This window comes from Homo sapiens, chromosome 12 (assembly GCF_000001405.40).
Source record: "Homo sapiens chromosome 12, GRCh38.p14 Primary Assembly".
NCBI classification, from domain to species: domain Eukaryota; kingdom Metazoa; phylum Chordata; class Mammalia; order Primates; family Hominidae; genus Homo; species Homo sapiens.
Window position 1 is genome coordinate 59,100,764 of NC_000012.12, and position 15,604 is coordinate 59,116,367.

Sequence of the window (15,604 nt, forward strand, 5' to 3'; positions counted from 1 at the left end):
GAGGGTGCAGCCACACGCACATGTAGTGCTGGTTTGGGCATGAATGCATGCTCTCCTGGGTGAGTCCCTGGCCTGTTGTGTGTGTGAGGGAGATTGCTGTGTGTTGTGTTTGGAGATTCTGATGGCTTATAATACATGAATATTTATACAAAACAACCTCATTAACTTCCTTACAAACTGTATTTTCTTGCTGATTTTACTATATCAAGTCATTCATTTGAGAAATATTTATACAACACTCAGAAGAAACATTTTGAATGGGAGGAGATATTTAAAAAAATAAGTACACTAACAACTCTGCTTTTGAGGCACTCACAGCTTTGAGCAAATGATATGAACAGATAAATTATGATATCATGGTGTAATAATATTTTGGAGCTATGGGAGCAGGGAGACCAGTGCAAGAGTCCTTTCAACAATACTAGAGAAGTCTCACTGATGACCTAATGTTTGAGCTGAGTATTGAGAGATAAATTGTAGCTTATAAAAAAAAATGGAGTGAGCGGGAATGTTTTAGGAAATGGGAAGAATTTATGTATAGGCAGTATCATGAAAGGACCCGGTATGTCCACGACTTGAGAAACATTCAGTGAGGCAGTAGAGGGAGAGAGAAGAGATGATTTGAAAGACAGAGTGCATTGGATTGTGAAGAGCTTTGTTTGGCAAACCATAAAGCTTTATTCAATATCCAACAAGAAGCAAGAGGTTTTGTTTGCTGTTGTTGTTTTTTGTTTTTGTTATTGTGTTTTACTTGAGGAGTGAAGCCTAAAAGATATTTTATTTTGCTTTTTTGGACCTTTAAATTTTATTGTAAATTGACAAGTTATAATTTTAGATATTTATACCATAACACAACAAAGTGATGTTATGATTAGGTATATGTCAGGCCTCTGAGCCCAAGCCAAGCCATCGCACCCCCTGTGACTTGCATGTATATGCCCAGATGGCCTGAAGTAACTGAAGAATCACAAAAGAAGTGAAAAGGCCCTGCCCCGCCTTAACTGATGACATTCCACCATTGTGATTTGTTCCTGCCCCACCTTAACTGAGTGATTAACCCTGTGAATTTCCTTCTCCTGGCTCAGAAGCTCCCCCACTGAGCACCTTGTGACCCCCGCCCCTGCCCACCAGAGAACAACCCCCTTTGACTGTAATTTTCCATTACCTTCCCAAATCCTATAAAATGGCCCCACCCCTATCTCCCTTTGCTGACTCTCTTTTTGGACTCAGCCCACCTGCACCCAGGTGAAATAAACAGCTTTATTGTTCACACAAAGCCTGTTTGGTGGTCTCTTCATACGGACGCGCATGACATTTGGTGCCGTGACTCGGATCAGGTGACCTCCCTTGGGAGATCAATCCCCCGTCCTCCTGCTCTTTGCTCCGTTAGAAAGTTCCACCTACAACCTCAGGTCCTCAGACTGACAAGCCCAAGAAACATCTCACCAATTTCAAATCCGGTAAGCGGCCTCTTTTTACTCTCTTCTCCAACCTCCCTCACTATCCTTCAACCTCTTTCTCCTTTCATTCTTGGCACCACACTTCAATCTCTCCCTTCTCTTAATTTCAATTCCTTTCGTTTTCTGGTAGAGACAAAGGAGACACGTTTCATCTGTGGACCCGAAACTCTGGCACCAGTCACGGACTGGGAAGGCAGTCTTCCCTTGGTGTTTAATCATTGCAGGGGCACCTCTCTGATTATTCACCCACGTTTCAAGGGTGTCAGACCACGCAGGGATGCCTGCCTTGGTCCTTCACCCTTAGCAGCAAGTCCCACTTTTCTAGGGAAGGGGCAAGTACCCCAACCCCTTCTCTCCTTGTCTCTACCCCTTCTCTGCTTTTCTGGGGAAGGGGCAAGTACCCCAACCCCTTCTCTCCTTGTCTCTACTCCTTCTCTGCTTTTCTGGGGAAGGGGGAAGTACCCCAACCTCTTCTCTCCTTGTCTCTACCCCTTCTCTGCTTTTCTGGGGAAGGGGCAAGTACCCCAACCCCTTCTCTCCTTTTCTCTACCCCTTCTCTGCTTTTCTAGGGGAGGGGCAAGTACCCCTCAACCCCTTCTCCTTCACCCTTAGCAGCAAGTCCCGCTTTTCTAGGGGGGCAAGAACCCCCAATCCCTTATTTCCACACCCCGACCTCTTATCTCTGTGCCCCAATCCCTTATTTCCACACCCTGACCTCTTATCTCTGTGCCCCAATCCCTTATTTCTGCACCCCAACCTCTTATCTCTGTGCCCCAATTCCTTATTTCCATGCCCCAACCCTTTCTCTGCTTTTCTGGAGGGCAAGAAACCCCTACCCCTTCTCCATGTCTCTACTCTTTTCTCTGGGCTTGCCTCCTTCACTATGGGCAAGCTTCCACCTTCCATTCCTCTTTCTTCTCCCTTAGCCTATATTCTTAAGAACTTAAAACCTCTTCAACTCTCTCCTGACCTAAAATCTAAGCATCTCATTTTCATCTGCAATGCCGCTTGACCCCAATACAAACTCGACGGTAGTTCCAAATAGTCGGAAAATGGCACTTTCAATTTTTCCATCCTACAAGATCTAAATAATTCTTGTCGTAAAATGGGCAAATGGTCTGAGATGCCTGACGTCCAGGCATTCTTTTACACATCAGTCCCTTCCTAGTCTCTGTGCCCAGTGCAACTCATCCCAAATCTTCCTTCTTTCCCTCCCACCTGTCCCCTCAGTCCCAACCCCAAGCATCGCTGAGTCTTTCTAATCTTCCTTTTCTACAGACCCATCTGATCTCTCCCCTCCTCACCAGGCCAAGCTAGGTCCCAATTCTTCCTCAGCCTCTGCTCCTCCACCCTATAATCTTTTTATCACCTCCCCTCCTCACACCTGGTCCGGCTTACAGTTTCGTTCTGTGACTAGCCCTCCCCCACCTGCCCCAGCAATTTACTCTTAAAAAGTGGCTGGAGCCAAAGGCATAGTCAAGGTTAATGCTCCTTTTTCTTTATCCCAAATCAGATAGCGTTTAGGCTCTTTTTCATCAAATATAAAAACCCAGCCCAGTTCATGGCTCATTTGGCAGCAACCCTGAGACACTTTACAGCCCTAGCCCCTAAAAGGTCAAAAGGCCGTCTTATTCTCAATATACATTTTATTACCCAATCTGCTCCCGACATTAAATAAAACCCCAAAAATTAGAATCTGGCCTTCAAACCCCACAACAGGACTTAAGTAACCTCACCTTCAAGGTGTACAATAATAAAAAAAAAGTTGCAATTCCTTGCCTCCACTGTAGACAAACCCCAGCCACATCTCCAGCACACAAGAACTTCCAAACGCCTGAACCACAGCGGCCAGGCATTCCTCCAGAACCTCCTCCCCCAGGAACTTGCCACAAGTGCCAGAAATCTGACCACCAGGCCAAGGAATGCCCACAGCCCAGGATTCCTCCTAAGCCGTGTCCCATCTGTGCGGGACACCACTGGAAATCGGACTGTTCAACTCACCTGGCAGCCACTCCCAGAGCCCCTGGAACTCTGGCCCAAGGCTCTCTGACTGACTCCTTCTTGGCTTAGCGGCTGAAGACTGATGCTGCCTGATCGCCTCAGAAGCCCTGTAGACCATCACAGACGCCGAGCTTTAGGTAACTCTCAGAGTGGAGGTTAAGTCCGTCCCCTTCTTAATCAATACGGAGGCTACCCACCCCACATTACCTTCTTTTCAAGGGCCTGTTTCCCTTGCCTCCATAACTGTTGTGGGTATTGACAGCCAGGCTTCTAAACCTCTTAAAACCCCCCAACTCTGGTGCCAACTTAGACAATACTCTTTTATGCACTCTTTTTTTAGTTATCCCCACCTGCCCAGTTCCCTTATTAGGCCGAGATATTTTAACCAAATTATCTGCTTCCCTGACTATTCCTGGACTATAGCCGCATCTCATTGCTGCCCTTCTTCCCAACCCAAAGCCTCCTTTGCGTCGTCTTCTTGTATTCCCCCACCTTAACCCACAAGTATAAGATACCTCTACTCCCTCCTTGGCGACCGATCATGCACCCATTACCATCTCATTAAAACCTAATCACCCTTACCCCACTCAATGCCAATATCCCATCCCACAGCATGCTTTGAAAGGATTAAAGCCTGTTATCACTCGCCTGCTACAGCGTGGCCTTTTAAAGCCTATAAACTCTCTTACAATTACCCCATTTTACCTGTCCTAAAACCAGACAAGCCTTACAAGTTAGTTCAGGATCTATGCCTTATCAACCAAATTGTTTTGCCTATCCACCCCATGGTGCCAAACCCATACACTCTCTTATCCTCAATACCTCCCTCCACAATCCATTATTCTGTTCTGGATCTCAAACATACTTTCTTTACTATTCCTTTGCACCCATCATCCCAGCCTCTCTTCACTTTCACTTGGACTGACCCTGACACCCATCAGGCTCAGCAAATTACCTGGGCTGTACTGCCGCAAGGCTTCACAGACAGACCCCATTACTTCAGTCAGGCCCAAATTTCTTCCTCATCTGTTACCTATCTCGGCATAATTCTCGTAAAAACACACGTGCTCTCCCTGCTGATCGTGTTCGATTAATCTCCCAAACCTCAATCCCTTACAAAACAACAACTCCTTTCCTTCCTAGGCATGGTTAGTGCAGTCAGAATTCTTACACAAGAGCCAGGACCGCACCTGTAGCCTTTCTGTCCAAACAACTTGACCTTACTGTTTTAGCCTAGCCCTCACGTCTGCGTGCAGCAGCTGCCGCTGCTTTAATACTTTTAGAGGCCCTCAAAATCACAAACTATGCTCAACTCACTCGCTACATTTCTCATAACTTCCAAAATCTATTTTCTTCCTCATACCTGATGCATATACTTTCTGCTCCCCGGCTCCTTCAGCTGTACTCACTCTTTGTTAAGTCCCACAATTACCATTGTTCCTGGCCTGGACTTCAGTCCGGCCTCCCACATTATTCCTCATACCACACCTGACCCTCATGACTGCATCTCTCTGATCCACCTGATGTTCATCCCGTTTCCCCACATTTCCTTCCCTGTTTCTCACCCTGATCACTCTTGATTTATTGATGGCAGTTCCACCAGGCCTAATCACCACACACCAGCAAAGGCAGGCTATGCTACAGTACAAACCACTAGCCCGCCTCTTAGAACCTTTCGTTTCCTTTCCATCATAGAAATCTATCCTCAAGGAAATAACTTCTCAGTGTTCCATCTGCTATTCTATCTGCTATTCTACTACTCCTCAAGGATCATTCAGGCCCCCTCCCTTCCCTTCACATCAAGCTCGAGGATTTGCCCCCATCCAGGACTGGCAAATTAGCTTTACTCAACACGGCCTAAGTCACAAAAACCAAAATACCTCTTAGTCTAAGTAGACACTTTCACTAGATAGGTAGAGGCCTTTCCTACAGGGTCTGAGAAGGCCACCGCAGTCATTTCTTCCCTTCTGTCAGACATAATTCCTCAGTTTAGCCTTCCCACCTCTATACAGTCTGATAACAGACCAGCCTTTATTAGTCAAATCAGCCAAGCATTTTTTCAGGCTCTTAGTATTCAGTGACGGACTAATGGTCTATTAAAAACACACCTCGCCAAGCTCAGCCACCAACTTAAAAAGGACTGGACAATACTTTTACCACTTTCTCTTCTCAGAAGCCAGACCTGTCCTCAGAATGCTACAAGGTACAGCCCATTTGAGCTTCTGTATAGACGCTCCTTTTCATTAGGTCCCAGTCTCATTCCAGACACCAGACCAACTTGGACTGTGCCCCCAAATAACGTGTCATCCCTACTATCTTCTGTCCAGTCATACTCCTATTCACCGTTCTCAACTACTCATACATGCTCTGCTCTCGTTTACATTGCTGATTTACACTGTTTATCCAAGCCATCACAGCTGATATCTCCTCATGCTATCCCCAAACTGCCACTCTTAATTCTTGAAGTAAATAAATAATCTTTGCTGGCAGGACTATGCCGAACCTCTGTAGGCACTCTCTAATTAGATGTCCTAGGTCCTCCCAATTCTTAGACCTTTTATACCTGTTTTTCTCCTTCTCTTATCCCATTTAGTTTTTCAATTCATACAAAACCATATCCAGGCCATCACCAATCATTCTATACGACAAATGTTTCTTCTAACAACCTCACAATATCACCCCTTACCACAAGATCTTCCTTCAGCTTAATCTCTCCCACTCTAGGTTCCCACACCGCCACTAATCCCGCTCGAAGCAGCCCTGAGAAACATCGCCCATTCTCTCTCCATACCACCCCCAAAAATTTGCGCCACCCCAACACTTCAACACTATTTTGTTTTATTTTTCTTATTAATAGTATACGATGTGGAATGGGGTTAAATCAAGCTAATTAATATATCCATCACCACAAGTACTTATAATTGTTTTATGGTAAGAACATTTGAAATTTACCCTCTTAGCAATTTTAAAATCTGTGATACACTTAATTATAGTTACCAAGCTGTATGATAGATCACAAAAGTCTTATCTCTCCTATCTAACTAGAGCTTTGACCAACAGTTCTCAAAAATATGTTAGAAGGAAGGTTTCTCTGGAGTCAATGTGAGATATATAGGTGAAAAAATATCAGGAGACCTTTTCAATAGTTCTGGGAAGATGATGCAGGTTTGAATTGAAAAGCAGTGGCAGCAAAGATAGAAAAAATACACTTTTAAGAGTGCTTTCTGAGACATAACTTAAATTTGGCATCTAACTGGATGTCGATGATGAAAGAAAGGCAAATGGGCTTGTTCAAGCTTCTGAATAGGAGACTGGTTGGAGGGTTGCACCCTTATTGAGATTTAGATTATAGAAAGCTAATATTTTTAAAGAAATTACATTTGAGGCCCCTGCATACATTGAAGCAAAGACTGCTATAGACTGTGTGATATTTTGGTATGTAGACTGGAAAAGACAAACACAAAGTCCGGCATACAGGCATTTAGTTTGTTTACTGCCTCTGAGCACCCTGTCTCAGGGAGCACCATTCACATCATGGATATAGGTGCTGGAGGCTCCTAGAGCAGTGATGGGGGGCTGTCTCCTATACACATCCCTCCCTCACACACACAACAGGCCAGGGACTCACCCAGGAGAGCATGCATTCATGCCCAAACCAACATCACATGTGCGTGTGGCTACACCCTCTCCCAGTAGTGCTCAGGGTCCCCCTTGGGGTGCTTCTTTTGCCACCTTCCATTCTCTTTCAGAGCTCAGATTCTCGACTCTCATTCCTTGCGACACTGAACCTGATGTTGTCACCTCACCTATCTGCATGAAACAGTGTATGAAGTATGCATACTGCTAGAGGCAAGTGAGAGCTTGGCATCTGGGGAAGGAGGATGTATGAGTGGGCAGGTGTGTGTGTGTATATGTGTGTATGCATGTGTGTGTGCACTCATGTGTACGTCTATGTAGAAAGTGCCCACAAGCTGTTCATGTTGTGCAATTGTGGGGAAAAGAAAGAGAGATCAGATTGTTACTGTGTCTGTGTAGAAAGAAGTAGACATACAAGACTCCATTTTGTTCTGTACTAAGAAAAATTCTTCTGCCTTGAGATGCTGTTAATCTGTAACCCTACCCCCAACCCTGTGCTCTCTGAAACATGTGCTGTGTCAATTCAGGGTTAAATGGATTAAGGGCTGTGCAAGGTGTACTTTGTTAAACAGATGCTTGAAGGTAGCATGCTCGTTAAGAGTCATCACCACTCCCTAATCTCAGGTACCCAGGGACACAAAACACTGAGGAAGGCCGCAGGGACCTCTGCCTAGGAAAGCCAGGTATTGTCCAAGGTTTCTCCCCATGTGATAGTCTGAAATATGGCCTCGTGGGAAGGGAAAGACCTGACCGTCCCCCAGCCCGTAAAGGGACACCCATAAAGGGTCTGTGCTGAGGAGGATTAGTAAAAAAGGAAGGAACGCCTCTTTGCAGTTGAGACAAGAGAAGGCATCTGTCTCCTGCCGTCCCTGGGCAATGGAATGTCTCAGTGTAAAACCTGATTGTATATTCCATCTACTGAGATAGGGGAAAACCGCCTTAGGGCTGGAGGTGGGACATGCGAGCAGCAATACTGCTCTTTAAGGCATTGAGATGTTTATGTGTATACATATCTAAAGCACAGCACTTAATTCTTTACCTTGTTTATGATGCAGAGACCTTTGCTCACGTGTTTACCTGCTGACGACCTTCTCTCCACCATTATCCTATGACCCTGCCACATCCCACTCTCCGAGAAACACCCAAGAATGATCAATAAATACTAAGGGAACTCAGAGGCCGGTGGGATCCTCCGTATGCTGAACACTGGTCCCCTGGGCCCCCTTTTTTCTTTCTCTATACTTTGTGTCTCTTTCTTTTCTAAGTCTCTCGTTCCACCTAATGAGAAACACCCACAGGTGTGGAGGGGCAACCCACCCCTTCATGCAATAATATGTAAGGTTATTCTTTTTCTTACATGTAAATGGGGGTAACTTTTAATTCACACAAAGTTACTATATAGGCTAGCACACCATTGCATAAGGGCTACAGACACAGATTTGAGAATCATCAGCGTAAATGGCCTTTGAAGCTACAGGGTAGAAGAGGTCACTCAGGGAATGTTAGTAGAAAAAGAATATAAATAAAGGCAATGATAAGAAACTTTCTTGTAATGCAATTGCACTCTCTCTCTATGGAATATTGTCATTAAAAAAATTATCTAGTAACCTATCATTCATGTAATTTTTTTTTAGACAGAGTTTTACTCTGTCTCCCAGGATGGAGTACAGTGGTGTGATCATGGCTCACTGCAGCCTCAACCTCCCTGGCTCAAGCAATCCTCCCATCTCAGCCTCCCAAGTAGCTGGGACCACAACTGGATGCCACCATGCCTGGCTAATATATTATTATTTGTAGAGTTGGGATCTCAATATGTTGCCCAGGCTGGTTATAGCTCCTAAGTTCAAACAATCTTCCTGCCTCAGCCTCCCAAAGTGATGGGATTACAGGCATGAGCCACCATGCCTAGTCCATTCACAAATTTTTAATGAGCACCTACTTAGATGCCTTATTCCATGGAAGTGCTAGGATATAATATTGAACCCAACAGACACAGTCTCAGCCACATGGCTTTTAAAGCTAGTGGGGGAAATGGACGTTAAGCAAATAACTTCATAAAAAAGCTGAGTCGGGGACAATAAAGCAAGAAATAAGTCCTATCTATGAGGATTCTAGTTAGGCCCCAGGGAAATCCTCCCTGAGAAAGATCCAAATATGGAGCTGGAGTTAACAAGGCAAAGCCAGTATGGATGTTGGGGCAGGGAGTGGGGAGGTGGGTATTTAGGGACAGAGCATTAAAAGCTGAAAGAACAGCATGTGCATAGGCCCTAGGATCAGGGGAAACAAAGAGATTTTACCAGGAAGCCATTGTGAGGAAGAGAGGGTCTAAGATCAGGTCAGAAAGGACTGTTGAGTGGGACAAGGTCATGAAGATAAGTATGCACATGAAATATTTTGATCCAACAGCAAAAGAAACCATTGATGAGTTCTAGCCAAGAGAGGTACAATAATCTAATTTATACTTAGAACTAGGTTTGGTTGGGATTGAGGCATTTACCAGGACTTGGACATTCAATGCCAAAACCAGAAAGTTCTAAACAAGCTGAGTTGTTTACCCTGCTTTGGACAGATAGCTCTGGCTACTGTATTGAGAACAGATTAGAGAAAAACAAGCACAAAAGAAGAGAGACCAGTCAGTAGTCTGTGGCCACCGTCCTCCTTCAAGATAATGGCCTAGGACCAAGATGGTGCTACAGGAGGGACAGGGAAGTAAGGAGAAGTGACAGAAGGACTTGGAGATGGTTTGAATGGAGTGGTAAGGAAGAGCAGGTTTCCAAGGCTGGCTTCAGCGTTGAAATCCAATTTATTGTAGAATTGGATTGATGGTAGTGCCATTATAGGAAACATCCTAGGAGAAAGGATGGGCAGGGTTCTGCATTCTGAATACAGAATAGAGCAGTGATTACACAAGCTTTGGGGTAACACTGGCTGAGACTGAATGACAGATTTTCCACTTGCCAGCTATGACCTTGGCCAAGTTATTGAATTTCTTTAGTTGCAACTTCTCCGTCTCTAAAATAGGTATTATAATAATAATACTCATTTCACAGAGATTTAAATGGATCAAATAAGATAATGTATATAAAATTCTTACGTCAGCCTTAATATTTATTAAACTGATTGTTTTGGATATTATTGTTATTTTATCTCCCTTTCTAATCTCAGAGGTTTTACATAAAGTGTTTTAAGAGTTTCATGTTTTAGAGAAGCTTACAACAAAAATAGCTATGCCAAAAAGGAACAGGGAACATAACATCTTTACTATTGCCTCAAAGAACGAAGATCCAAGATGACACTATTATTTACTGGTTGAAATAATTTTTAATTTCAGTTGACAATTACTAGGATATATTAATAGCTTTTATACTTCTCTTTTATTACCATTAGTCAATTACTTATTTCTTTTGTTATATTTTCCATAAACATAATTTTTTTGAACCATTTACTATATGCATATTTACTGGTATGGTCATATTGACTTTTGTTAATTTTGCAGCTTGATCTCAGTTTCTATTGCAATTTTATGTTTGTTCCATCTGGGATTTGTGGCTTCAATTGTAGGCTCAAAGACCATGGGACCATGTTGAGCTTGCTTTCTTGTGGCTTGATTTAGGGCTGTACGTATGCAAATGTTGTTTGAAAAATAATTGTGGATAAAATATACACATCTAAAATTTAGTCTATGATTATTTTGCCTGGAGTACCTCTATTAGAAAACAAATTTCCCTTTGAAAAGTAAAATCATTCCACATTTATTTCTGAAGCACCTATCTTTTACCTTAAACTCAGAACACATGTAACTATGCATTAGAAAATTAGAAAGTATTAGAGGCTCTACTAGTTATATATTATTTTTATGATTCATTTAGAAGTAGAAAGAAAACAATCATTGTTAAGTGATATCTGAGGCAATATAGAATTAATGTAATAGAATTAAGTGGTATCTGAGGCAATACAGAATTAATGTTTAAAAGATTAATCTCTGTTTGACAGTGGAACAATTATTATTCATTTTGAACTTAGACAGTGGGATATTGCAGGAATTTTACTCTAAAGAGGAAATAAATTGTAATCACTAAGATAGATAGAGATATATACACACGTGCTATGATCTGAATGACCACCAAAGTTCATGTGCTGAAACTGAATAAACAGTGTGATAGTGTGAAGAGGTGGAGCTTTTAGGAAATGATGAGGTCATGAGGGGAGCCTTCATGGATGGGATTAGCTAGCTTGTAAAAGGGCTGGAGGGAACGAGCTATGTTCTTTTTTGTCCTTCCAGCTTCAGCTGTGGGAACATAGCGTTCAAGGTGCCATCTTAGAAGCAGAAAGCAGGCCTCAATAGACACTAAACCTGCTAGCAACTTGTTCTTAGACTTCCATCCCCAGTACTGTGAGGCATACGTTTCTGTTCTTATTAACTGTCCAGTATCAGGTATTTTGTTATAACAGCACAAACAATGCACACACACAGACACATATATGCAGATAGAGAGATGTCTTTGATACAGTATCTTAGGCTCCCGGAATCCTACCATTGATGGACACTGGCTGCAAGAATGTTGTCAGCAACTTCAGTCCCAACCCCTCCTGGATATTCCGCTTAGGAGAATCATGTAATAGGACACCCAGCTAAAGAGCTCTGGAGAGTGAAGGGGATACCAAGCATAAGAAGAAAACCATCACAGTTATTTCCATTTTTAACCTGGAAGCAAAAAGGTTATTAAAGATAACATTTTTGTAAAATTTGAAATGGGCACTTTTTTTCCATGTTTATAATTTTATAAAACCAAATCAATCAATCAATTATCATATTGATAGAACTTAACATGAAGTCATGTTGATAAAATTAAATGTACAGTGCAAATATACATATTTCATTATAAGTGTCTTCCAAGCCTATTTGGATATCAGAGTCATCTGTGAAGACTGTTAAAGCTTAGATGCCTCAATTCCATATATCACTGCTACTTACTTTAGGCAAGTCACCTAAACTCTCTGTGCCTCAGTTACCTCATCTGTAAAATGGGGATAACAGCCCTATCTTCCTAACAGGAATGTTATGCTGATTAAATGAGTTAATGTATGTAAGGTCTTTTGAAAGTTCCTGGTACGTTAAAAAAGAAACACATGCCGACATGTAGTGATTGCTATTCTTATTCCCTGTGTAAGTTACTTGGATCTTTATTTCCAGGGATTTTGGTCTGGCTCTCACTATGGGTTTATTCCTAGAGGGAGCTCAGTTTTCCTAGCCAGGTACTGTGAATTTGGGGTTAAATGGAGAGAAAATGTTGTGCATGATGCTGTGGCTGTTGGGGCAGTACTTCTATTAGTATGTGTGTAGGGCAGCTGAGGGGCAAGACAAGGCATTCAGAGATCATACTTTGGAACTGGAAGCAGGTCATCCTGTACCCTAATAATTCCCAAATGGGATTTAGCTTTGTCATTTCCCCAAAGTGTTCCATGGCCTACTGAAACATGTATTTTCTAAATGAAAATAGATTTGTTTATGCAACCATAAATATAACTTTGAATTTATTTCAAAGCATAGATTTGAAACCTTAAAATATGACAACAAAATGGGGAACTAATCTTGGACACAAATAAGCTTTGGCAAATATCGTGACAGGTCCCACTGAAGCTGAATGACTGTGCAGGTTGATACACTGGACATTTTCGGTGAAACCTGTGTGAACAGACAACTGGAGGGTCAGATGATTTATCCTCTCCCCAGTACCTTGGCACAAGGTAAAACTTCTCGATGTTTGATGCAACCTAGAAGGGGTTGGTTACAGTAAACAAATGAAGTTACCATTTCTTATGCGGAGAAAGGAGAGGGTTGAACAGAATGTGTACAATTTTAGAAAGTCCACCTGGAATTTTGGCCTGAGATACATGCTTTATTATGGAAGAATTTTTCTGGTATTATTAAGAATTTTTATGCATGGTGACAGTTATCAATTTATTGCCTTTCAGCTCCAAATCTACCCTTATATTACCTGTTCTGAAATAACAGACAAGACTCTTTGAAGTCTTTCCTCTGTAGTAAGCATGATGCTAAGTTTGTCAGTAGAGGGCGCTGGAGGGCCGTGGCAGGAGGAAGGAGTTTCCTTTCACGGTTCCAGTAAGTTGCAGGTTTTTTGCTTCTTGCTCTTTCTGCGTTGCTGCCAAACTGCACTGTCCCAGCCATGCACCCAGACTGTGCTGCCTGACTTCCTGCAAACTCAAGGCCCCATCTTAGCTCAGTAATCACCTCACTGTGGCCCCCCTGATGTGGATGCCAGGTGCCTAGGCCTCCTGTAGGCCTGCCAGGAAACTGCCTGCCAAAGCCCCACTGCCTCAGTGTGCCCTCCCGCCAAGCTCCCCCTGCTTGAGGAAGTGTGCTTCTTGTTTATACATCGACTATGAACCAGGTCTGGCCCAGGCAATGCAGCCAGTGGCTCCACCATCCAGTACGCTCCAAACACATCTTCTGGAATAGGTTTAAATCCCAGCCTCAGGAAGACGGCCCCCTTGCCAAGTTATTCCTTTCTTGGGTCCCAGGGAATTCTTTGGAACAGGGGTCCTCAATACCATCTGTTAGATTTTGTAAATAAAGACTTACTGGAATACAGGCATGCACACTGATTTATAATTTGTCTCTGGCTGCTTCGATGCTGTAATGGCAGAAACAAATAGTTGCAACAGAGACCCAATTGTCCAGAAAGCGTATGCTCCGTACTATCGGACTCTTTACAGAAAAAAATTTGCTGACCTCTATTTGAGAGTTGTCTTTTCTCTCTTTATAGTCACTTCATAGTTATAGTTAATCATTATTTTTTGACCAGGCGTGGTGGCTCATTCCTGTAATCTCCCAGCACTTTAGGAGGCCAAGACAGGTGGATTGCTTAAGTCCAGGAGTTCAAGACCAGCCTGGGCAATGTGATGAAACCCCATTGCTACAGAAAGTACCAAAAATTAGCCAGGCATGGTGGTGTGCAGCTGTGGTCCCAGCTACTTGGAAGGCTGATGTGGGAGGATGCCGTGGGACCTTGAGCCTGCAGTGAGCCATGATTGTGCCACTGCACTCCAACCTGGGTGACAGAGTGAGACCCTGTCTCAAAAAAAAAAAAAAATTATCATTATAACTTATATTAAAATTTCCCAGTTCAAATTACTATGTTGTTTCTGTCTCCTGGTTAGACCTCATTGATAAATGCAATATATACTGTAATCTGATAGATTACATCCCATAGAATGGTGCCATTTTAATTTGAGAAGGAAGCAGCTACTATTTTACCTCTGGCCAATAAAAATCCTCCAGGCAAGGAAATACTCTGAGTCTGGCTACTGCCTACAAAGTGGGAAAGGGAAAAAAATAGAACAATCCTTTAGCATACAAGTTAATTATATCGATAAATTATTTCACCACATCTATACTTTATTCATTTTGTTGCACTTGGAAGCAATCCAGATGCCTACCACGTGGTAAGAATTTAGTAAATGATTTTGAATGAGTGAATTAATGAGTCTATGAATGAATATAAGGAGAACTGAAAACAAACTATAGGCAGCATTTTCCTTTCAATGCAAAGAAATGACAAATAATAAAATGTAGATAAGCTCTGGGTAATTTTTTCCTCAAATATTTACTCTGATTGTATGAAAATTATGGAAAATATATAAAGAGATGTGTCTGTGAATACATTATCTTTAAGCTATATATGCAAATGAAGTGGAAAACACAAGAAAAATAATTTTCTCCTGAAACATTCTGATAATTGAATCAAGCATTGCATTTTTGGTTTGAATTAGCTGAGCTGAACTGGTGATTCATTTCACTTCGCGTGTGAGGCCACAGCCATAGAGAGGTTCATACTGGGTTCACTTCAATAAACAGCTGCGGACTGGGGTCAATTTTTATTTTATTTAGCATTATTCATTCATTCAGATTCCATATTCAGCTAATTACTTGCAGGAACAGTACTCATTAAGAAAAATAACTCATTTACATGGAAGAAGGCTACAGTTTGCCCTTTTGCTTTTATCTCCCTTCCTTCCCGTTGCATTTATTCTTCTTTCATTTTGAGTAACATAAAGCACAAAAATCAAATCAAGGCACTTTAAATTCTGATTTCTTGTTTCCCAAACATTCAAACCTTTTTATGGACAGAAATTAGCCTTTGCCAGGTAATTCAAATAAAGAGTTACATTCTATTTTAATCCTCTTTTCAAGTGAGCATTTTGCCATATTGCTCACATCTTCCTGTCTGCTCACAGACCACTTTGCAATGGTTTGCTCTGCCTTCCCTTTAGCTGATTGCGGGGCATTCAGTGGAAAGCCTCAGATGCTGGTGATATTTTCTCTACTGTTTACAAGAGCAGAAAAGAATTTCACACTTTTTTGAGCACTGCAGCTGTTTCAGCACCTTTAAATGCCACTTATAAGCCATTCTAAACAAACCAACCTGCCTACCAGAAAACCAAAATACCTGTTAGTACTTTTTTCTCTATGAAGGATGAAGAGT

At 42.3% G+C, this 15,604-nt stretch overlaps 1 long non-coding RNA gene across 1 annotated transcript in view, besides 1 other annotated feature; it reads left to right on the plus strand.

Annotated features, from left to right (window-relative positions):
* Window positions 1-15,604, plus strand: part of LRIG3-DT (LRIG3 divergent transcript) — a 210,172-nt gene that overhangs the window by 180,060 nt on the left and 14,508 nt on the right. Inside the window, exon 4 of the long non-coding RNA NR_183518.1 lies at window positions 12,727-12,845. This is a non-coding gene — a long non-coding RNA (LRIG3 divergent transcript). The remainder of the gene's footprint in view (window positions 1-12,726; window positions 12,846-15,604) is intronic.
* Window positions 13,250-13,509: an enhancer, noted in NCBI's record as "active region_6571". NCBI's record gives its function as "activates an Ori minimal core promoter by ATAC-STARR-seq in GM12878 lymphoblastoid cells {active_cell/tissue: GM12878}" and the evidence as "EXISTENCE:reporter gene assay evidence [ECO:0000049][PMID:35858748]".